Source organism: Homo sapiens, chromosome 11, assembly GCF_000001405.40.
Source record: "Homo sapiens chromosome 11, GRCh38.p14 Primary Assembly".
NCBI classification, from domain to species: Eukaryota; Metazoa; Chordata; class Mammalia; order Primates; family Hominidae; genus Homo; species Homo sapiens.
In genome coordinates, this window is record NC_000011.10 from 72,244,712 (window position 1) to 72,270,371 (window position 25,660).

A 25,660-nucleotide genomic window follows, 5' to 3' on the forward strand; every position below is an offset into this window, starting at 1 on the left:
AAGGGGCAGAAACAGTGATGGAGACAGGGACAAGAGATACAGGTACACAGAGGGAGACAAGGACGGAACATACACAGCGAAAGACAGGATGGAGCGGGGACAGGGCAGAGACAGGAGATGAGGGTAAGAGAGAGACAGGATGGAGCGGGGACAGGGCAGAGACAGGAGATGAGGTTAAGAGAGAGACAAGAGGAGACAGGGAGACAGGGGGACGAGAAAGAGAGTGAGGGAGGCATGGAGACAGAAGGGGTCGGGATGAGACATGGACGGCAACCAGGACTGCGGTGGAGAGCAAGGGAGGGATGAGACAAAACAGAGGCAGGAATCGTGAGACAGACACATATGCCCAGGGACAGTCTGAGAGAGACAGGGCCAGGGACAGCCACAAGCGCGGGAGCAGAGGCTGAGAGCGGAGAGAAAACGCCTCCGGGGAGCTTAGACACGAGGGCTGGAGCGCAGAGGGGCCCAGGGATGATGCTGGAGGCTCTGGGGTGCGGCCTCCACGGGGCTGCGGAGAGGGAGGGTCGTGGGAGCCAGGTCCCTCTACCCTGACTTGTCCCGAGGCCCACACGACCTTGCACCTTCAGGGCCCGCCTGCCTCTCCCCCCGTTCCCTCAGCTCCATCTGCAGTATGCGACCCTCTCCTGTGACCTTGGGCTCAGGATGCGATGGATGTCAGAAAGGGAACGTACCCCGTGACCTCTTTATTGTTCTTCAGTCTCTTACCCCTGTTCTCCAGGGCCCCCCGCTTTTTTTCTCCAGGGAAACCACCTAGACTCAGTCTGCACCTGGCCCAGACATCCCTGCACAGATTCAGTCACCAGCTCCCTCGTGCTGTGGGACAGCGGGACACATTCAGAATCCTTACCAAGAGAAGGGAACAGATAACTTTTCCGTCGCTCCTGAGCTGGGTTGGGCAGCTCGTCCACTCAACCCCCAGCCTCTTCCACCGATCTTGGCAGGTCTTGTAGATGGGGAGTCCTAGACCCATGGAGAAGCCGCGGGAAGGGCGTGTCTTTGTTTCCAGCTGAAGTCCTTGGGGGTTGATAGAAGGACTCCTGGAATTCTCCCCAAGTTTGTCAGGACAGAGGGGAGTGCGCCTCTCCTCAGGTAATCCTTCCCCCATCATCCGTTCTGGGCTTCCCAGGAGGACTCTCTATCCCCAATCTCCGGAACCACTCCATGCCAGGGGATTTCTTTGAGGTTTCTCAAATTACCTCTTGTCAAATGTTTTTATTGTGGCAAAATACACATAACATAAAATTTACCATCTTAGCCACTTTGAGCTATAGTTCTGTGGTAGTAAATACATTCATATTTATGTATTAATACATCCATCTCCATAACTCTTTGAATCCTGTAAAATCAAAACTCTACCCGTTAAACAACACCTTCCATTTCCCCATCCTACCTGCAAACCGCCATTCCTCTTTCTGTCCCTATGATTTTGTGTTTTTTTTTTTCAGACAGTCTTTCACTCTGTCACTCAGGCTGGAGTACAGCAACGAGATCATGGTGCAGTCTTGCATTCCTTGGCTCAGGCGATCCTCCCGCCTCAGCGTCCTGAGTAGCTGGGACTACACGTGCACACCACCATGCCTAGCTAATTTTTAAATCTTCTGTAGAGATGGGGGTCTCACTATGTTGCCCAGGCTGGTCTCTGTTATTTTGACCAGGGACCTCGTATAAGTGGAATCATACAGTATTTGTCTGTTTACTTACTTATTTTTGAGATACTCTTACTCTGTCACCCAGGCTGCAGTGCAGAGGTGGGATCATAGCTCACTGCTGCCTCAACCTTCTGGGCTCAAGCGATCCTCCCACCTCAGCCTCCCAGAGTATTGGAATTACAGGTGTGAGCCTCCACACTCAGCCCAGTATTTGTCTTTTTGGCATAACTCCTTTTATATATCCCATTTCCTTATCCATCCATCCATCCGTGGACATTCGGGTTGCTTCCACATTTTAGCTGTTGTGAATAATGCTGCTATGAACATGGGTGTACACATATCTGCCTAACATATTTGTATCTGCTTTCAATTCTTTTCAATATATACCCAGAAGTGGAATTCCTGGATCATACAGTAATTCTCTTTTTGTTTTTCAAGGAACTGCCACAATGTTTTCCACAGAGGCTTTTCCATTTTACATTCTCACCAGCAATGCATCCGTATTCCAATTTTGACACATCCTTGCCAACACTTGCTATTTTCTGTTTTTCTCAAATGACTTTTTAGGTCTAAACTTGTAGAGATTGAGACCTGACAGCTCAACTGCTTCAAAAAGTTATCCCTCCTGGTGTGTGAGGTGCACCTCTCCCCCTCAATATATACTCTACAGGGAGTCCAAGGGATCTCAGAATTGGGAAATCAGATGGGATCACTGCTCTCAGACCCTCCCATGGCTCTCCATTGCCCTCATGATCAAGTCCAAGCTCTTGCTGGCACGCCACGTCCTCAGTGCTAGCGCTCCAGCCTGCCTCCCCCTGTTCTTGGCTTTCTTTGCAGCCATCACACACTAATCTTTTGGTTCAGAGCTGTTCTCTCTGGCTGGAATGCCCATTTCATTCCCTGCCCTCCCACACAAAACAAACAAAACCGAACAAACCCAAGCCTGGTTGACTCCTGTTTATCCATTGGGTCTCAATTTGGATATCATTGCTTCCTGGAAGCCTTCCCTGATGCTGCTAGACTAGGTTGGGCATCCCTGCCATGTCCCATAGTAGTACTTCCTCTCTTTTGGTCACTCAAATGACCTTGCTGAAGTGTTTGCAATACAGTGCAAGGTCTTAGGGCAGAACTATGTCATCTTGTTTCTCACTCACTCCCCAGCCCTACCGTGGTGCCTAGCCCATCACTCTGCATGTCATAGGTCCTCTCTTATCTGTTTGTCAAATGAATGGATTAGGCTAATCTGAAATCTTCGTGTTGGAGAATCCTGCCCTTGCTTCCAGGGAAGAAATTCTCATCCCCTAACTCCACTCTGCACTCTCTGAAGAGGGATCATCCTGCCCTCTTCATTTCCTCTCTCTCCAGGGACAGGAAACTTCTTCCCTCACGAGTCAACCTCTGCCTGGAAGAAAGTCCTTCCTCATCTGAGGAATTTGCAGGTGGCCATACCCCTTCCCCAGTGAAGCTGACCAGCACTAGGAGCAACTGAAGCTTGCATGCAGGGACAAGCAGAGATATAAGGGGAGGCAGAGTCCCAGTGCTGCCTAAGGCCCTGGCTCCAGCTGTCTCAGAGACCATGATCTAGCCCTGTCATTTTTTTTTCTTTTTTTCTTTTTTTTTTTTTCTTTTTGAGACAGAGTCTCCCACTGTTGCCTAGGCTGGAGAGCAGTGGCGCAATCTCGGCTCACTGCAACCCCTGCCTCCTGGGTTCAAGTGATTCTCCTGCCTCAGTCTCCCGAGTAGCTGGGATTACAGGCGCTGCCACCATGACCAACTAATTTTTGTGTTTTTAGTACAGACGGGGTTTCACCATGTTGGCCAGGCTGGTCTTGAACTCCTGGCCTTAAGTGGTCCACCCACATCAGCCTCCCAAAGTGCTGGGATTACAGGCATGAGCCACCATGCCTGGCTTAAGCCCTGCCATTTCTACAGTTTGGTCCTTGAATCAATAAATTCCCTTCTGTCTAAACTACTTTTGGTTGGGCTTCTGACACTTGCAACCAAGAGTTCTGGTCAATACAATCTTTAAAGACTTAACACATTTATAGGTAATCAAACAAATGGTAGTGGTGATTAGAAGCTTTATTGTAAGATGCTACAGGGTTAGCTGGGCAGGAACTGGCCTTTCCAGGCCGCAGGATGTGGAGTTGGGGTTTCTGCTCTGCAGGCATCCATTTGCATCTGCTGATCAGCATAGGAGCTGAGAAGCATTCCAAGGAAGTGTTTTAAACCATGTCCACTACTGGGTTCAGACCTATATAGACAGGTCTCTCAGATGGCAGAGGTGAGGGAACTTTGGAAGCCAGCCTGCACATGTGTGCACGTGTGTGTGTGCATGTGTGATAGGGGTAGGCAAAGAGGCTTCCTGAGAACTCACCATCAAAGAAGAAGGAGACAGGCAGAGTGGGAAGGACTCTGCAAGGGCTTCATACCAGAACGGCTGGTGGTTGAGAGTCTGATATGGGGAGCTCATCCTGACTAAGGCCTCCACCCCCAAAATGTGTGTACTCCTGGGGGAGCTAAAAATGCTCTAGCATGAAACACTGTCACTGCAATCTTGCTGTGAAGCCTCCTTGCAGAGCAGGACAGCTTCACTTCCAAGAATGATGACAAATTCTGGAGCCTGGTTGCTGGGTTTCAACTCTGGTTCCACCATTGATGAGCTGTGTGACTTAGGGTAAGTTATTCAACCTCTCTGTGCCTCAGTTTTCTCATCTGCAAACTAGTTTTTGTTTGTTTTTTAGAGACAGGATGTCTCTCTGTTGCCCAGGCTGGAGTGCAGTGGCACGATCACTGCATCCTCGAACTCCTGGACTCAAATGATCCTCCTGCCTCAGCCTCTCCAGTAGCTAGGACTTCAGGCACAGGCCACCATGCCCAGCTTAAATTAGTTCATTTTATGATTAGATGAATTAAAATATATGAAGTGTTGGAACAGTGCCTGGCACATTAAATAAATCAGCTATTTAACCACCACCACCACGACAACCCCTTCTCCCTCTTTTTAAAAATTTTTTTATTTATTTTTAAACCCAAGCTGACTTTCATGACAATTAAAAAATTTTAAAATATATCTCTGGCAAAGAATAATGCAGGGGTAAGGATCCAGGCACAGTCCAACATCTCTCTGAGGCCTCCACACAGGCCCCTCAAACCGCACCCACTCTGACCATGCACCACTTTCCACAGACCTGGTCCCACAGCTGTCCCTTCCTTTGGGGAAGTTGGGAAGGAATGGCTTTAGGGGGATGCAGAGCCCGTCCTCAGCCCTGCCATCTGCCCCACTTCTTAGGACTTCCTGGGATTGACTGTCCTTCCCTTGACTCCCCCATCCCTCTGGTCCCCTGGTCTCACACGGCATGGCCCCTCTCACCCTCTGGCTTCTGCTGGTTCTAACCATTTTCTCTGATCCCTAGTGCCACCTCCCCATGGTCCTCCTCAGCCACTTCAGCCTAGTCCTCCTTCTCAGGTAGAGACCTCTGACTTGACCCCAGTCCTGTCAGTCCCTACTGTAGAAAGCACACAGTCCCTGCTCCCTGAGGCTCCACTCTTCTGGACCTGGCTGTACAGGGCTGAGTTGTGGCTTTTGCTGCTCCTGCCAGTTGCAGTACTAGGTTCAGGGAAGGCTGGGCCCTGGGACTTGGAAGCAGGGAGGGTCTTTGTTCTCTGGGTGGGTGGCATAGCGTAGTCATCAGTGGCAGGGTTGTAGGGGAGCTTGTAGCCCTCCTACTTCACCTCAGCTTGACATCCCACACATCTTTGGGCTCCTAAGGCAGATCATAAAGGCCCTGGGGAAGGGCTGGGGCCAGGCCCTCGGGTTCATCATAGATGGGATCCTCTTTGGGGTCCGTCAGCTTGGCCTTCAGCAACTGCTGCTGCTCATGCTCATACAAGTCCCAATAGAGAGGTTTCTTCCATTGTACTCCCTCTCCTGCCCGAGCAAGAGTGCCGTCCAAGAGGTCTGAGTATAGGGAGCCCTGGGATGGGCCTGAAGCAATGTGCAGGGAGTCTAAGGGCTCAGCATACAGGGCTGGGGGGCTTTCAAGGAGCTCTTGGGGTCCAGGTGGGGAAGAGAACTTCCCCTCTACCACCTTCCTTTCATGGGAATCAGCTCTGAGAGCATTGTGCCCCTGTCTGGCCTTTCCCTGGGCCTTCTGCCGGTGGATGGCAGTCTCATCTGCCTGGAAGATGTCATTTCCCTGTGCCGTCTGGAAAGGAAGGTTCCAGGGCCCAAGAGGCAGCGGCGCTGGCCTCAAAAGAGAACATGACCTTGTCCCGGCCATAGCAATGCAACAGAGTGTAGGGCCAGGACAGGAGCAGCTCCGGTACCTGACTCTGGGCTCCCATGGTCAGGAGAGTCAGCCTTTCAGCCTCCACCCTCAGCACGTAGGAGGCATGCAGGCCACAGTGCTCGACCGCCTCAGTCCTCTGCACCGTTACCCAGAACTGGGATCCTTCCCAGGTGGGGCTGCACAAGGAGTTCTCCAGCATCTCCAGGGCAGAAAGCTCAGGTGGGTTATTGGTAGGTTCCAGAGTCCAGCTGCCTTTCCGAAGGGGGTTTTGGCACAGCGTCTGCAACCAGGCTGCACTGGACGGCACATCAACAGCCAGCAGGTGCTAGTGCTGTGCAGTGTCCAGGCGGAAGGCAGTGGCGCTGGGCTCAGGGAGGCTCTCCACGGCCACGGGGACCAAACTCACACACTTCGCCAGATGGATCACCTTGCAGTCCAGGCAGCACGAGCTCCCTCGGCCACTCCCAGAGCTCGACCCCTTATGGTCAAAGAACTTGAGCCGCGCTAGCCATGGGGACTGGCCGGGTAGAGCATGGCCCAGGTCTTCCTCCACCTCTTGGTCCCAAAGTGCTGACTCTGCGAAAAGAGCGGCCCTTCTGTCATAGCTCCGTCCATGGCCCCCAGCGGTTGCTTCCCCCCTTCTCCCTCTTATCAAGTGACTGAGTACTGTGGCACTGATAGATCCACACCAGACTCTGGCCAGGCTCCCTCTGATCTGTTACTCCTGAAACTTGCATATATAACCCAGACACGATGCACCACAGCATCACCTTTACCTGAAAGATTCAGAAGGCATCAGGGCCCTGCAGAGTTACCCAGCGTGATGGCTTCATTTTTGCAGATGAAGAGACCAAGGCCCAGCGAGGGATCCTATAGAAAGAGTAAAAGTAAAGCCAATGAGCATGTGTCAGAGGAGGAGTCCCCCACAGAAGGAGTGGCAGGTAAAAGGATCCTTGTGGACAGATATAGTGGGGACTGCTCTGGATCTTCTGCTTCGTTCCCTGCTCTGACATTAACTTAGTCTGTGAGCTCAGGCAGTGGAAGCGGTTGAGGAAGGACCCGTGCCCTGGAGAACTCTTTTTGCCAGTGATCATTTGGAGAGTGGTATCCTGGGGATTCCCAGGTGTCACCACTTTATTCTCACTTCTGCCAGAAACACTGATCTTAGCCTCCCCTCAGAAATCTGAGCAAGAATGTCCTGGGCTCAGAGTGTGGCCACTATGCTGGCTTCTTACTCCAGTGCACTCCTGCCAGCCCTCCTCTCCTCTGGGGGAGCACACGGAGCCACAGCTCCTCCCTAGCATCGAAATGCATCTTTGTACCCTCCAAAGTGATGTCTTCAGTGTCATCGTTATTCAATTATGCTCAGAAGCTGAGCTTGATCAGACATCCAATATAACTTCCATCAAGTAATGAAACTTCTTTTTTTTTTTTTGAGACGGAGTCTCGCTCTGTCACCCAGGCTGGAGTGCAGTGGCACAATCTCGGCTCACTGCAACCTCCGCCTGCTGGGCTCGAGCGATTCTCCTGCCTCAGCCTCCCGAGTAGCTGGAATTACAGGCACGTGCCATCGTGCCTAGCTAATTTTTGTATTTTTAGTAGAGACGGGGGTTTCACCATGTTGCCCAGGCTGGTCTTGAACTCCTGACCTCAGGTGATCCACCCGCCTCGGCCTCCCAAAGTGCTGTGATTACAGGCGTGAGCCACCGTGCTGGCGGGATGCTTTCTTTAAGGATTTCCCAGTCTGGTGGGCACATGGAAACTTACCTGGGGAGAGGGGGGATTTCTCTTTAGAATGTCTTAGTTGTTTTTGTAAGACAATGGTACAGAGAAGTCTTGTTGCTTCCTTTAAAAAGGGGAAAGAAAAAACAAAGTTTGACCCTACCAACGTTGCTATGCTCTGACAAGCTTATCCAGGTGATATGGTTTGGCTGTGTCCCTACCCAAATCTCATCTTGAATTATAGCTCCCATAATTCCCACGTGTTGTGGGAGAGACCCGATGGGAAGTAATTGAATCATGGGGACGAGTATTTCCTGTGCTGTTCTTGTGGTAGTGAATAAGTCTCACGAGATCTGATGGTTTTATAAATAGGAGTTCCCCGGCGCAAGCGCTCCTGTCTGCCGCAATGTAAGACGTGGTTTTGCTGCTCATTTGCCTTCCGCCATGACTGTGAGGACTCTCCAGCTATGTGGAACGGTGAGTACATTAAACCTCTTTCCTGGCCGAGTGCGGTGGCTCATGCCTGTAATCCCAGCACTTTGGGAGGCCGAAGTGGGTGGATCACCTAAGGTCAGGAGTTCCAGACCAGCCTGGCCAACATGGTGAAACCCCGTCTCTACTAAATATAAAAAAAATTAGCCGGGCATGGAGGTGCCACGCCTGTAGTCCCGGCTACTCGGAAGCCTGAGGCAGGAGAATCGCTGGAACCTAGGAGGCGAAGGTTGCAGTGAGCCGAGATCATGCCACTGCACCCCAGCCTGGGCGACAGAGTAAGACCCCATCTCAGAAGAAAAAAAAAAAAAGGTTCTTTCCTTTAAATTATCCAGTCTCGGATATGTCTTTATCAGTAGTGTGAGAACAGACTAATACACCAAGTTATTGTGCATGGGAAGGAACCTGCCAATGGGCTGCCATAATGAACAATTATGGAGTGGTCATCCAGCACCATTCTTCCCTCTTGGGAACTGTCATATCCATCTAGATGGCTACCCAGGGACCATTGCTTTTACATAATCCTTCCCTCAGTCATAATTGGTCCAGGTGTGGACCCTTTTCAAAGATGGGTCAATAAAACCTTTCCTTACCCTTTTTTCTTATTTGAACTTAGAAACAAGTCATTCTTTTGTTTTTTGTTTGTTTCTTTGTTTTTGCTTTTTAGGAAATAGAGTCTCATGTGTCACACAGGCTGAAGTTCAGTGGCGCAATCATAGCTCATTGCAGCCTTGACTTCTTGTGTTCAAGGGATCCTCCCACCTCAGCCTCCCAAGTAGCTGGGACTATAGGTATGTGTCACCACAGCCAGCTAATTAAAAAAGATTTTTTTTCTGTAGAGTTCTACTATATTGTCCGGGCTGGTCTCAAACTTCTGGGCTCAAGTGATCCTCCCGCCTTGGTCTCCCAGTTCTCTGGGATTATAGGTGTAGACCACCATGCCTGGCCCAAGTCATTCTTTTTTGAATGGTGAAAGGCCATAAATATGAAGTTCAGGAACTGTCTGCAAGCATATTCTCCATCATGAAGAGAAGAAAGGTGCTCTGCAGTGAGGAAAGCAGAAATAAAAAGTTGAAGCAAAAGATAAGGATAATTCTATTAGGATTTAAGTTCCTAGTTCCAGTTATTCCTGAGATATCCTTGCTCTTTTTGCAAATTAGTTGTTCAGCCCCTTATTGGATTTTATTACCCAACACATTCTTCTTTATGTTTAATCTGGCTCAAGTTGGATTTCTGTCACTTCCAAGCAAAAGAATCCCAATTTAAAAATCGGTACAAGGTGTAGAGTGATGCACATGGCAGAACCTAAAACATGGAACTGGCCCTGTTGATGTTGAGGGTGGGATATAGTAAGACTCCCTCCATCCTGAGTCTGGGAGTGAGCTGTTCGTTAGGTGACGACTGAAGCAGCCAGGGAAATGACTGTATGGTGTCTTTTAGAACAACCTCCCCTATGTCTGCCCGGTGGTTGCAGCTTCAGAGGATTCAGTAGGAACATGGCAAAATATTGGAGCACATTGTCTACACTTGGCAACCCCAGGAAGATACTTCCAGGGAGGGACAAGCACATGACGGGCAGTATGACAATTTGTAACTCTGGTGAGGCCTCCTCTGCCTGGGGCTGGCAATCCAAGGTGGCTGCAGGAAAATAATCATGTGCTTTGCAGACTGGCTGCAGGCAGATTCCGTGCACACCCTAAAGTGAATGCATTGATTAGGAAAGGGGGACTGTCTGAAATGGGGATATCTGGGATGAGCTAGAGGAATCAGGGACCTGTGACTCTCCCAATCCCCCCTTGGCACCCTGGCCGGACAGTAAGGGTCAACCTTTGTTTTTCTTTTTTTGGCATCTGGCATCTGAAACCACTTCTAAGTTAGGGAAATTCCCCATCTAATAGATGCCAGATACTTGTTTTCTGAACTTCCCTCACAACCAGGTGTAGACATTTGACCTTGTCTCAGCCAGTCCCGTACATGGATCACAGACTAAGCTAAGAAATCTGTAGATAAGGAAGTGAGGATTCAGAGACCCTCAGAACTCCCTCCAGGGACAATGGGCTTGTAGTAAGACCTAGTTCTAGAGGCAGCAGGGACCCTACAGAGCTTGCTCTTGGCAGCAGGAAGGGGCAGTGGTGGCAGCATTGTCCTCCTGGAGAAAACCCTGCAGCTTAATTTAGGGCATTGTTCTGGTTTCCTGTGTGGCTCTCTATCTGGTTCTCTAGTTGTTTCTGTAATTCTCTGAGATACCTAATATCTTTTATACAGTTAATGAGTTATTTTTTTGCTTAAATAAGATGGAGTTGGTTTTGTGGCTTGTAACTAATGACTCTGACTGATATATAAATTGGTACTAGATTGACTGAAGGCATCAGACTTTCAGAGAAATAGCTGGAATCTAGGAATGGTTGTGTGGCCTGTTGGGGGACTAAAGGTAATGAAAATCCAGAGATGGGGTGGCACTTGGTGGCAAAATAGCTCATCCGCTTATTACTAGTGGTTACCTGGAATGAAGTGTCCATTGAGAACAAAGACTTGGGGGACTGTCTGACATGAGTCTGAAGGGAATGAGGAACAAATGGATTGTGAGGTGGTGTGGACAACTTAAAGCGAGAATGAAAACATCAGACTCAAAGTTTGCTCTCACTCTATCATGTGTGAGAACTAGAGCATTGTTTGGAAGAGGAACATACTGGGGTGGTTATGTATGGGAGAATTTGGATGGCTGAGAGCTCTGAGCTTCTATGAACCAGGGCTAGGTTGGATACCACCTAAGGGAAAATCCAAAATGACAATGGTATAAACAAAATAATAGATTCTTTCTTCTTCACTAAAAATAAATCTGTGGGTAGGGAGTCCAGTGCTGGTGTGGCTACTCCATGGGCCTCCTACTCCTTCCTTCTTTTTGTTTTCTCTTCCTAGAGTGTGGTTTCTATCCTCAAGCTCACCTAATGTTCTAAGATAGCTGTTGGAGTTCTAACCATCACATCCACATTCTAGGAAGCCAGAATGAAGAAGAAAGCAAGCAAAAAGTACATCTCTCAGTGAGACATCTCCCTGTAAGGAACCTTCTTAGAGGCTCTGTGCAGCACTTCTGTTTACTTCGTATTTGCCTGAATTTAGTTGTATGAGCACATCAAACTGAAAGGGAGACTAGAAAAAGGAGTGATTTTTAACTGGGCACATTAGTATCCCAAATGAAATAGGGTCTTCATTGCTGAGGAATAAGGAGAGAATCGATATCAGGCAGGGATGTTACCCATTGCTGCATAACAATTACCCCACAACTTAGTAGTGGAAAACAATACACATTTATTGTGTAATAGTTTCTGTGCATCAGGAATTTAGGAACAGCTTACCTGAGTCCCCTGCTTCAGGGTCTCTTCCAAGGCTACAATCAAGGTGTCAGATCTGCAGTCTCAAATGAGGGCTTGGCTAAGGCAAGGTCGGCTTCTAAGCTCACGCACATGGCTCTTTTTAGGGCTCAGTGCCTCAAGAGCAATTGGACTGAAGGGCTCTGTTTCTTATCAGATGTTGGCCAGAGGTCACCCTCACTTTCTTGCACTGTGGACCTCCCCATCAGGACAAGCATGTTAGAAGGGTCAGAGGGAATGTCAGCAAGACAGAAGGCAGCCTTTTGTAACCTAATCTTGGAAATCACATCCTGTCATTTTTGCCATATTCTGCTCCTTAGAAGTAAATTACCAGCCAGGGGCAGCGGCTCACATCTATAATCCCAGCACTTTGGGAAGCTGAGGCAGGAGGATCACTTCAGCTCAGGAGTTTGAGGTCCTGAGCAACATAGCAAGACACCGTCTCAACAGAAAGTATAAAAAGTAGCCAGGCATGGTGGCATGCACCTGTAGTCCTAGCTACGCAGGAGGCTGGGGCAGGAGGATCGCTTGAGCCCAGTAGTTCCAGGCTGCTAGTGAGCTATGATCACAGTATTGCAACCCAGCCTGGGTGCACTTACCAAAGAGTCTGGATTCCATGTGTCCGTTCTAATAGCTGGGGGTAGTCCTAATAACTTTTATTTATTTATTTATTTATTTATTTATTTATTTATTTAGAGACAGAGTCTCAGTCTGTCACTCAGGCTGGAGTGCAGTGGCACGATCTAGGCTCACTGCAACCTCTGCCTCCCAGGTTCAAGTGATTTTCTTGCCTCAGCCTCCCAGGTAGTAGCTGGGATTACAGGCGTGCACCACCACGCCCGGCTAATTTTTTTTTTGTATTTTTAGTAGAGATGGGGTTTCACCATGTTGACCGGGTTTGTCTCGAATTCCTGGCATCAAGAGATCCACTAGCCTTGGTCTCCCAAAGTGCTGGGATTACAGGCGTGAACTGCCACACCCGGCCTTATGACTTTTTAAAAAAGGATGAGTTAATTGTTTTCTAGAGCCTATAATAACATTATTTACTTTATCACATATCCATCCACCTATTCTTCTGCCAATCCACTGTATTTTTTGAATGCATTTCAGAGTAAGTTTCAGACATCCATATGCTTGGCCTCTAAATACTTCAGTGTGTATATTATCATGTTGAAAAATTGTTGGTTTTAAGAAAGTGTTAGACCTTTTCCCAAAGGGTTGTGCCATTTTACACTTCCACCAATAATGTATGTGAATTCTTGTTTCATATCCTCTTGAACATTAAATAGTGTCAGTATTTTTAATTTTATTCATTCTGATGGATATATAGTGGATTTAATTGCTTTTTCAGTTGGTTGACTGAAACCTGGATTCCATGATGAAGTTAAATGAAATTGAGATGCCAAGAATCCTTTGGTAAAATGTGGAAGAGAGAATCCAAAGAATTAGGGAGACGGGAATTTGGTGTGGGTTTATAAGTGTGACTCATTCACTCCTAGCTCTGTCCCCTAGGAGGGCCCGGGGACATTCTCTTCACCAAGGCATTGAGAAATATATTTGTGAGAGTGATGATATCTTCAGAAAGTACTGTAATAACCAGTTTCTGTAGGTTGGAGATATTGGGGGAAGACACTACAGATGAAACAGCCTCCCTGATTTCTTTTTTTTCTTTTCTTTTTTTTTTTTGAGATGGAGTCTTGCTCTGTTGCCCAGGCTAGAGTGCAGCAGCATGATCTCGGCTCACTGCCAGCTCCTCCTCCCGAGTTCACACCATTCTTCTGCCTCAGCCTCCTGAGTAGCTGGGACTACAGGCGCCCGCCACCATGCCTGGCTAATTTTTTGTATTTTTAGTAGAGATGGGGTTTCACCATGTTAGCCAGGATGGTCTCGATCTCCTTAACCTCGTGATCCGCCCACCTCGGCCTCCCGAAGTGCTGGGATTACAGGTGTGAGCCACCGCGCCTGGCCTTTTTTTGTTGTTTTTTTGAGACAGGATCTTGCTCTGTTGTCCCGGCTGGAGTGCAGTGGCATGATCATGACTCATTGCAACCTCCACCTCCCGGGCTCAAGTGATTCTCCCACCTCAGCCTCCCAAGTAGCTGGGACTTCAGGTGCATGCCACCATGCCCAGCTAATTAAAAAATTATATATTTTTTAGAGACAGGGTCTTGCTATGTTGCCCAGGCTTGCCTTGAGCTTCTGGGTTTAAGCCACCTTCCCACCTTGGCCTCCCAATGTGCTGAGATTGCAGGCATGAGCCACCACTCACCATGTAGGTGCCCTCATTTCCACCAACATGATGGAATCCTAGGGTTGTGAGGGTGGGGTGGGGTACTTCACTGCCAGGGGCAAGCTGGGTGTGGTTACTCTGATTGCCAGCTGCTCTGAGTGGTCTGACCTGCAGAGATCTTTGCTGGTTGATCATTTTGAGATCACTGAGTCCCTAGGATTAAAGAATGTAAGCAGTTCACTAAGATTCTAACTGATCTGTAAAACCCAAAACCCTCTGGAACTGGTGAAAAGGGGACCCACTTAAGACAATAGGATGGGGAATAATGGAGTTATGATCTCTCACTGAATTTCCTGTCCTGGGTTTGTTCACAGACTTACAGCCCCATGAATGGGGTGAAGGCAAGTTTACTTAAGCAAGATTTAGAAATACCTCCTTATATATTTCTTTCTTTCTTTCTTTCTTTCTTTCTTTCTTTCTTTCTTTCTTTCTTTTTTTTTTTTTTTTTTTTTTTTTACAGAGTCTCACTCTGTCACCCAGGCTGGAGTGCAGTGGCATGATTCTGGCTCACTGCAACCTCCACCTCCCGGGTTCAAGCAATTGTCTTGCCTCGGCCTCCTGAGTAGCTGGGATTACAAGTGCCCACCACCATGCCCGGCTAATTTTTGTGTTTTTAGTAGAGACAGGGCTTCATCATGTTGGCCAGGCTGGTCTAGAAATCCTGACCTCAAGTGATCTGCCCACCTCGGCCTCCCAAAGTGCTGGGATTGCAGGTATGAGCCACAGTGCCCTGCCTCCCTTTGTATTCCTTATAGGGTCCCCCAGAAAGGCCTGTGGTCATTTTCCAGGATAGCTATTGTAGGTTTAATTGTGTCTCCTCCAAAAGATATGTTGAAGTTCTGGTCCCCAGTACCTGTGAAATAGGTGACCTTATTTTGAAATAGTTTATTTGCAATCAGGTTAAGGTGAGGTCATACTGGTTTAGCCCTAATCCAATGATGGTCTCCTTAGAAGAAGCTTTTTTTTCTTTTCTTTTCTTTCTTTTTCTAACCTTATAAAAAAGGAGAAATTTGGACACAGAGGGAACACCATGTGAAGATGGAGAATAAATTTCCGTGGTTTCAGGCTACCTTGTGTATAATATTTTGTTATGGCAGCCCTAGGAAACAGATCCAGTAACTGTGACCTTGGGAGTGTTGGACATTGGCTCTAATGCTAATCTTTGGAGTTGTAGTTGGCACAGTGATTAATGAATCACTCAGAGTGAATGAAGGCTTATGGAGTCAAGTGATAAATTGACTTTTGATTTTTTTTCTGAGACAGGGTCTTGCTATGTTGCCCAGGGTGGAGTGCAGTGGCATGATCATAACCCACTACAGCCTCGAACTCCTGTACTGAAGCCATCCCCTTGTCTCAGCCTCCTGATTAGCTGGAACTACAGGCGTGTGCCACCATGGCTAGCTACCTTTTTTTTTTCTTTTTAAATTTTTGTAAAGACAGGGATCTCACCATGTTGCCTAGGCTGGTCTCGAACTCTGGGCTCAAGTGATCCTCCTGCCTTGGCCTCCCAAAGTGCTAGGATTGCAGGTGTGAGCCACTGTGCCTGGCTGCAACTTTTGATTTCAGTCTACCTTACTATCATCCCAGTTCTTAAACCCATTTTCCCATCATTTCTTTAGTTCCCGAGTGTATAGTTAGACTAGATGCATTCAGCAAATGGCAGAATCCCCATGTTTCTCCAGTCCATGGAATATGTGGTTGAAAGGGTCGAGCAAAAGCACTAAACCTTCCTCCCTATTTAAATTATAAACAAAGAGCAATAATGCCTTGCTGGGGGAAATGCGAGATTAGTGCAACCATCAAAGATCTGAAAATTTAGAGGTGAAAATTCTTGTTACTTATCCATTTAATTTACCTGTTTGGCTCACAAAGAAGTCAGAAGGGCCTTTGAGAATGACGGTGGATGATTGAAAGTTTAAGACAGGTGATGACTCCAGTTGCATTGCTCTTGCAGATGTGGTTTCTCCACTAGAGCAAATCAACAGCGCCTCTCCCACCTGCGATGAAGTTATTAACTTGCAAATGTTTTTTCCCTATTTCAATAAGCAAAGAAGACCAGAGGTAATTTTGTTTATCCTGGCAGGGGCAGAAGTACATTTTCACTATTTTGCTTCAAGAACTATGTCAGCTCTCTGCCTCTGTGCCACAATTTAGTACACAGGGACTTTGATAATCTTAAAGTCCCATAACACGTTACACTGGCGAACTATGATTATGATAAAGTGCTGATAAATCCTAAATAGCAGAAAGTACTCGGTACCCTGAATGCCTTAATGAGTTGTTGTCGTCAGCGTTTTGGATTTAAGCCATTCTAGTAGGTACATAGTGATATCTCATTTATTGTTTTAATTTGCAATTCCCTGATGACATAATGTTGAGCATCTTTCATGTATTTATTTGCTGTCTGCACATATCCTTTGGTGAGGTGTCTGTTCCTATCTTTTGCTAATTTTTAAATCGGGTGATTGTTTCTTTATTGTCAAGTTTGAAAAGTTCTTGTATATTTTGGACACCAGTCCTTTATATGTGTTTTACAAAGATTTTATCCCAGTTCGTGGTTTGTCTTCATTCTCTCAAAAGCATCTTTTGCAGAATAGAAGCTTTTAATTTTAGTAAAGTCTAACATATGTTTCTTCTTTCATGAATTCTGCTTTTGGTGTTGTATTAAAAAAAATCACCGTCTTCATTTATATAGTAGTAAGTAAACTTTAAGAATAGTAAAATAAATAAATAAGTACATAGAAAATCGTCACCAAACCCAAGGTCATCTAGATTTTGTCTTATGTTATCTTCTAGGAGTTTTATAGTTTTGCATTCAATTTTTTTTTTTTTTTTTTGAGACGGAGTCTTGCTTTGTCTCCAGGCTGGGGTGCAGTGGCGTGATCTCAGCTCACTGCAACCTTTGCCTACCAGGTTCAAGCAATTCTGCCTCAGCCATCTGAGTAGCTGGGACTACAGTTGCACACCGCCACACCCAGCTAATTTTTGTATTTTGAGTAGAGATGGGGTTTCATCATATTGGCCAGGGTGGTCTTGATTTCCTGACTTCGTGATCCTCCTGCCTCGGCCTCCCAAAGTGCTGGGATTACAGGCATGAACCACTACGCCCAGCTAATTTTGTATTTTTAGTAGAGACGGGGTTTCTCCATGTTGGTCAGGCTGGTCTCGAACTCCCAACCTCAGGTGATCCGCCCGCCTCGGCCTCCCAAAGTGCTGGGATTACAGGTGTGAGCTACCACGCCCAGTGTCCCATTTTTTAAAATTGTTATTAAAAAAATTTTTTTAATTGTTATTTTAAAAAATTTTTAAATTGTTATTTAAAAAAATTAAAAAAAAATTTTTTTAAATTTTTAATAAAATAGAGATGGGGGTCTCACTATGTTGCCCAGGCTGGTATTAAACTCCTGGGCTCAAGTGATCCTACTGCCTCAGCCTCCCAAATTGTTAGGATTACAGGCGTGTGCCACCATGCCCGGCCCAGAGTCCCATTCTCTTGAATCACTTTTTAATCTCTAGGATGTTGCTGCTCATGCTTTTTTTTTTCTTTTTTTTTTTCTTTTGAGACAAGGTCTCACTCTATCACCCAGGCTGGAGTGCAGTGGCGCGATCTCTGCTCACTACAACCTCCGCCTCCTGGGCTCAAGCAATTCTCCTGCCTCAGCCTCCTGACTAGCTGGGATTACAGGCACACACCACAATGCTCAGCTAATTTTTTTATATTTTTAGTAGAGATGGGGTTTCACCATGTTGGCCAGGCTGGTCTCGAACTCTTGACCTCTGGTGATCCACCTGCCTCACCTTCCCAAAGTGCTGGGATTACAGGCGTGAGCCACTGTACCTAGCCGTACTTATTAAAACACAATATCCTACTTCATACTTTCAAGACTATTGGTGATACTCTTGAAAAAGAGAGATCCACTATTAACAGTGAGATTTTCTTCCAAACAACTAATATTCATTCTACAAGTTCTGATAGTGGCACTTTCTTGAATTTATCAGAAGGTATGTGTGAAAACTTTCTAGACAATAACCAACACTCATTCTTTCCTCGAATGGTCCTTAAGTGGACTAAAATGCTCAGGAGTGGCAGTTATCCAGCCATGCCACCAGGAATAACAATCCCATGTAGGCGTGGCAGTGGCATCTCTACCACGGCCACTTCCTGGTTGACGGTGATTCTGATGGTTCTCAATTTCAGATGTTCAGATTTCAGTTTTGATAACACATGTATCTTGACATCCATGAAACAAACAGTAGTGGTATACCAATTTTATCAAAATTTAGTTGCACTTTATGTCTTAATCAGGTATGTATCATATATTGACCATGATTATTTTAACTTCTTTATACCAATTTTTGCTTTTCCTGGAATTCATAGTTGTCTTTTTAAAAATTTGCTTTGTTTTCTAAGTTGCTATCATTATCACTCTTCTAGGGAATTGTAAACCCTTAGAGATACTCTTTTCCACACAGTCAAACATATTAGGTCTTCTATCAATCCCATTATTTTTTTCCTGGAGACTTCTCTTCTGGAGCTTTCTGAGGTCGGCTGGATTATTATTCCCAGTTCTTCACTTCCTCTCTGTTACAGAATAGAATGATATGCCCATGCTTTTTGCCATGAACTTTGCAGTATCTCCCACTAGAGTAGGGAGAGTATATTTCCCTGCCCCACTGATGGTGAGCATGGCCCTATGACTTGCTTTGGCCCAAGAACGGTAATAGACATGAGAGGAGCAGAGGATTAAAATGTGACTGTGTAACCTGGCTTGCTTCTTGAGCTTCTGCAGTTCCCCCTGACAAGTACAAGGCCTGGGTAGATGTTGGTTCAAGGAGAATGAGAAAACATGGGGAAAAGACCTTAACAGGAACCTCATTCTAGAGCCAAGCCCAGCTAGGTCCAGCTGTATTGACTGAACCCTCGTCAGAATGCATAGTCATGAACATGAATCATCTTTGTTGTTGTAAGCCACCGAGATCTTGAGGTTTCCTTTTACTACATAGAAAACACTGACCAACTGATATGGTTTGGCTCTGTGTCCCTACCCAAATCTCATCTGTAATCCCCAGGTGTCAAGGGAGGGAAGCAATTGGATTATGGGGGCGGTTTTCCCCCATGCTGTTCTCATGATAGTGAGTGAGTCTCATGAGATCCGATGGTTTTATAAGTAGAATTTTCCTGTGCCCACCCTCACTCCCTCCTGCTGCCTTATGAAGAAGGTGCCTTGCTTCCCCTTGACCTTCTGCCATGATTGTAAGTTTCCTGAGGCCTTCCAGCCCTGTGGAACTGTAAGTCAATTAAACCTCTTTCCTTTATAAATTACCAAGTCTCGGGTATTTCTTTATAGCAGTGTGAAAATGGACTAATAACACCGGTATACCTTCTGCCTTCCTGCACCAATCTGGACTAGCAGTTGCTCTGCAGAGCTGTTGTTCTGGGATATCTCTTTGCTTATCTCTTGGGTTGGGTCCCCCATTTACTGAATTCTGTGACTTTCTTCTTCTCAGTTTATTTCCTTGTTTTGATGAAGCCCATCTTCAAATAGCTTTCTGAGAATGGGTGCAATGGTAGGAGTATTTTTTGAGATCCCAAATATCTAAACATGTTCACTGTATTATCACATTTGATTCATAATTTGGCTAGATGTGGATTTCTAGGTTGAAAGTAATTTTCTCTCAGAATTTTGAAGGCATTCCTATGTTGCCTTTCAACTTGCTTGTTGTTTTTAAGGAATGCATTATGATTTCCTATTTGCATGTGATTTCTTGATATGGTTTGTCTCTGTTTCCCCACCCAAATCTCATCTCAAATTGTAATCCCCACGTGTCAATGGAGGGTCCAGGTGAAGGTAATTGGATCATGGGGGTGGTTTCCCCCTTGCTGGTCTTGTGATAATGAGTGAGTTCTCAGGAGATCTGGTGGTTTTGTAAGTGGTTGGTGATTTCTCCTGTGTTCATTCTCTTTCCTGCTGCCTTGTGAAGAAGGTGCATGTTTCGCCTTCCCCTTCTGCCATGATTGTAAGTTTCTTGAGGCCCCCCCAGCCATGTGGAACTGTGAGTCAATTCAACCTCTTTCCTTTATAAATTACCCAGTCTTGGGTAATTCTTTATAGCAGTGTGAAAACCAACTAATACACTTATTTTTCCTTTGGAAGTTTTTAGAATCTTCTTTATGTCCTGAGTATTCTGATATTTACTGATGATATGGCTGGCTCAGAATCTATTTTCAACCACTGGGCATCAGTGGATCTGAAAACTGATGTCTATTAGTGATGAAAACATTTCTTGTGCTATTTATTTGATAATATTCCCTCGCTCAATCTCTTCTTTTTGAAGCGCCTATCATGTGGATGTTGGACATCCTTAATTATTTTTCTAATTGTATCTGTTCTCTTACAATTTTCTGTTTATTTTGGTTCTACGTCTTGGGAGATTTTCTTAAGTTTATCTTCCAATTGTTTTTTTTTTTTTTTTTTTTTTTTTGAGATGGAGTCTCACCCTGTCACCAGGCTGAAGTGCAGTGGCGAGATCTCGGCTCACTGCAACCTCCGCCTCCTGGGTTCAAGTGATTTTCCTGCCTCAGCCTCCCCAGTAGCTGGGACTACAGGCGTGCTCCACCACACCCAGCTAATTTTTGTATTTTTAGTAGAGACAGGGTTTCACCATGTTGGCCAGGATGGTCTCCATCTCTTGACCTTGTGATCTGCCCGCCTCGGCCTCCCAAAGTGCTGGGATTACAGGCATGAGTCACTGCATCCAGCCCTAGTTGTTTTATGGATTAAAAAAATTTAGCTAACATGTCTTAAAATTCTAAAAGTTATTCGATTCTGTTAGTGTTCCTTTCTTTCTTTTTTTTTTTAAAGGCATATTGGCCAGGTGCAGTGGCTCACGCCTGTAATCCTAGCACTTTGGGAGGCCAAGGTGGGCAGATTGCTTGAGGTCAGGAGTTCGAGACTAGCCCGGCCAACATGGCGAAACCCCATCTCTACTAAAAATACAAAAATTAGCCGGGCGTGGTGGCACATGCCTGTAATCCCAGCTACTCGGGAAACTGAGGCAGGAGAATTGCTTGTATCCAGGAGGTGGATACAAGCAGTGAGCCGAGATCATGCCACTGCACTCCAGCCTGGGCGACAGAGCTAGACTCTGTCAAAAAAAAAAAAATTAAGGCATATTGTTTTTTTTTTGACGGTCGTTATTATTTTTTCTTTTCTCTCTCGATAGTATAGATTTCAGGGGAAGGTTTCCTGTGTTGTTTCTGCTTCCTGTTGGTTTTCTTTTTCCTGGTTATATTTTTGGTCTTTCATGTTCAACCTTTCCTTACATGTCTGGTGACTTTCTTTTCCTTTCTTATTTAAGAGTGTGGTACCACAAAGTTTCTTGGAAGCTGTGTGTGTGTGTGCCAAGTTTGTGAAATGTAGTGTTACTGTATGGTGATGGGATAGGGACTCAGCCATTTTGCTGGAGGATGTAAAATGTCCTATCTATAGCCTTTTTCTCTAGGATCATTCAGTGTCTTCAGTGACAAATTTTCAGTATTCTGCCCAGGAAGGAAATATGCCTGGCTGCCACTGTGCTTGGAGCTTGTGCCAGAAGGGCTAGGGTGTTACAGTAGGCTTGTTTTCAATTGTGTTTTTTGGCACAGCTCTTGCCTTTTGCTGTTCCTGGGTCCTAAGCCTGGAGGCTTTCAGGGTAGATTCATCCACAGGCTAAAGCTTCAGACTCCTGTCCCTGTGGGGAAGGTGTAATCAGCTGACCAGAATGGAGGAAGAGACATGGAAATCTTACTGCATTTTAAAAATAAATGTTCCGGTCAGGTGTGCTGGCTCACGCCTGTAATCCCAGAACTTTGGGAGGCCGAGGCAGGTGACTTACTTGGGGCCAGGAGCTTGAGACCAGCCTGGCCAACATGGTGAAACCCCATCTCTACCAAAAATACAAAAATTAGCCGGGCGTGGTGGCATGTGCCTACTCCAGAGGGTGAGGCAGGAGAATCTCTTGAACCCAGGAGGCGGAGATTGCAGTGAGCTGAGATTGCACCACTGCACTCCAGGCTGGGCAAAAGAGTGAGACCTTGTCTCAAAAAATAAAAATAAAAAAAAAAAGTTCAATCCTTGCCCCTATTTTCAGCCCCATGTTGCATCCCACATTCTCAGAGCACCTGGTGCTTTGCATTCCTGAACTCTTCTGGGGTTCTGTGTTATGAACTTGATTCTTTCTTTCTGACATCCCCTCTGTAGTTATTGGGTATGCAGCTTTCTTAGTTCTCCTGACTTCTCTATCATTTTTCATATTTTCCGTTTTTAAGAGTATGGAAGAGTATTAGAAAAGACAGCTTATAATTTCACTGACTAGATACTCTCCAATTAAATTACATGCACTGGCCAGATGATTAAAAAGAAATAAAGTAATAAAAAGTTTAAATGAAAAGTGAGAAGTATTCCTTCCCTGTTTCTTCCCCTAGTCCCTCTCTCAAAAGGAAATATTTGTGAACATTTCCTTGTTCAACATTTCCTTGTTCACAATTTCCTTGTTTAATTTCTTTTTTGTGTTTTTGAGACAGGATGTTTGCTCTGTCACCCAGGCTGGAGTGCAGTGGTGCTATCACAGCTCACCGTGGCCTCGACCTCCTGGGCTTAAGCAATCCTCTCACCTCAGCCTCCTGAGTAGCTGGGACAACAGGCGCCAGCCACCACGCCCAGCTAATTTTTGTATTTTTAGTAGAGACGGGTTTTCACCATGTTGCCCTGGCTGATCTCAAACTCCTGGGCACAAGGGATCTGCCTGCCTGGTCCTACCAAACTGCTGTGAATACAGGCATGAGCCACTACACCTGACTCTTGTTTAATTTCTTCTAGAAATTAAAAAAAACACACCCTGTATCTATGTGTTTGTGCAGGTGTGCACATACACAAAAAGGATAAAGCTATACAGCTATATAGATAAGATTTTTTTAAAAATCAGGGTCTCACTTTGTCACCCAGGCTGGAGTACAGTGGCACAGTTTCAGCTCACTACAGCCTCGACCTCCCGGGTTCAAGTGATCCTCCCGCCTTAGCCCCCCAAGTAGCTGACACTACAGGTGCACTACCATGCCCAGCTAATTTTTGTGTTTTTGTAGAGATGGGGCTTCCCTATGTTGCCCAGGCTGGTCTTGAACTCCTGAGCTCAAGTGATCCGCCCACTTTGGCCTCCCAAAATGCTAGGATTACAGGCATTAGCCAGCACCTGGCCTTAGATAAGACTTTTAATAATATTCCTGGGGCTATTTCACTATTGGCACATGCAGATTCATCTTGTTCTCTTTTATTGGCTACATCATACCATATTGTAATGGACGTGCTGGTTTTGAAACAATATCTTGAGAGCGCTGGGAAAACTGCAGTTTAAAAGATTCCCTTTAGTAAATTCTTTTTGTAGAACAAATAATTATTTGGGGGTAATGAATACTTACTCATTAGTTTTTCAGGTTTGGACGCTTGTATTTTAATACATCAAGCTTTCTTAAAGTGATCCCATCTATAAATGACAGATGACTACATATATAATTACATGGGTGTTAGGTGAGATTCTCAGTGAGGAAGTGAGAGGAACTTGAGAATCTTTTAGTTTCAAGAAACAGAAGCTGTACCTGAAGGGATATTCCAGCTAAAGGAAAAAGAAAAGTTAATTTTAGGGATACTCTGTTGTTTTGCAGGCCCTAACAGCAGATAGGTTTTAGGGAAAACCGGGACCAGGGACCCAGACACCAATGGTATTCTCTGATGTTGCTATAAACATTCATGTACAGGTTTTTGTGTGGACATAAGTTTTCAACATATTTGAGTAAAACACCAAGGAGCAGAACTGAAGGATCATACAGTAAAAAGTATGTTTAGTTTTGTAAACAACCACTAACTGTCTTCCAAAGCTGCTGCATTATTTTACTTTATTATATTATATTTATAATATAATAATACTTATATAAGTATTATATATAATATATAATAATATAATATAAATATAATATTTATATTTCAATATTATAATATAAATATAATATTTATATTTAAATATTATCATATAAATATAAATATAATATATTATAATTATTATAATATAAATATAATATATTATAATTATTATAATATAAATATAATATATTATAATTATTATAATATAAATATAATATATATTATAAATATTATAATATAAATATATTATAAATATTATAATATAAATATATTATAAATATTATAATATAAATATATTATAAATATTATAATATAAATATATTATAAATATTATAATATAAATATATTATAAATATTATAATATAAATATATTATAAATATTATAATATAAATATATTATAAATATTATAATATAAATATATTATAAATATTATAATATAAATATATTATAAATATTATAATATAAATATATTATAAATATTATAATATAAATATAATATATTATAAATATAATATAAATATAATATATTATAAATATAATATAAATATAATATTTAATATTTATAATATAAATATAATATTTATATTATAATATTATAATACTTTAGCTCTGCTCCTGCCTGCACTTTGCTCCACTGGACTCTGCTCTTTTTCCCCTAGCAGGTAAGTTTCCTCCACTATTCTGACCCTTGGAGTAGACAACTTGGTTATGGACAGCTCCAGACCTGTACATCCTAGTTAGGCACTCTAAACAGAGATTTGTGGTGTATTCTCTGTTCTAGTTTTAAAATTTCTGGAGGAGAGGGAAGTCTGATTTGCTCTGGTGGGTCAGGTTGTCACATCAGAACCAGTGAAATGTATCTAGATGTATCCAGGGAGCAGTGTCATAGCTACTAACATGACAGAAGCTCTGATAGGTCTTTGGGTGGTGGGAATGGGTTGGGAGAGAGTGTTGCAATAAGAAGGGGAGTGTTAAGCACACTGTCACTTAGGAGTGCACACTGCGGTTACAGAATCTTCTAATTCTTTGGTGGAAGCTTCCTGGAAGGGGAAGTTTCAGTGGTGCTATCATTCAAAGAAAATTCAAGGCTGGGCGCGGTGGCTCACGCCTGTAATCCCAGCACTTTGGGAGGCCAAGGTGGGCGGATTACCTGAGGTCAGGAGTTCAAGACCAGCCTGACTCACTTCGTGGTGAAACCCCATCTCTACTAAAAATACAAACATTAGCCAAGCATGGTGGCACACACCTGTAATCCCAGCTACTCGGGAGGGTGAGACAGGAGAATTGCTTGAGCCTGGGAGACAGAGGTTGCAGTGAGCCGAGATAGTGCCACTGCACTCCTGCCTGGCTGACAGAGAGAGACTGTCTCAAAAAAAAAAGAAAAAAGAAAAAAGAAAATTCAAGCCCTTTGTGAAGGTTTTATAATGACCCTGACAAGGGTTCCTTGGGTCACGGAGAAGAGACCCTACCCAAATGAAGATGCCTTTACAAGTTTGGAGCGCTCACCCCTCTCTCTAGGCTTCCAAAGCTAAGTGATCCTTCCAAGCAAAATTGGAAAGCAGTCGGCTTGCAGGCAGGTGGTGGTGGCTTAGAGCTTCCTTTTAACCATTTATGGAGTAGGTCTTCATTTCTTGATGTAAATCCAAGCATCCCTCTGGTATCACATTCCATCTTCCTGAAGAACTTCTTTAACATTTCTTGTAATGCAGGTCTGATGAATTCTGTCACCTTCAGTTTGTCTGAAAAAGTATTTCACTTTCATTTTTGAAATATTTTCATTGGGTATGGTATTCTGATGAGTTTTTTCTTTTTAGCACTTAAAGTACGACCTTCTATTCTCTTCTAGCTTGCATAATTTCTGGTGAGAAG

The 25,660-nt window shown here is 44.7% G+C and overlaps 1 pseudogene; it reads right to left on the reverse strand.

Moving 5' to 3' along the window:
- LOC220077 (dedicator of cytokinesis 1 pseudogene) lies at positions 4,709–6,597 on the reverse strand (annotated as a pseudogene).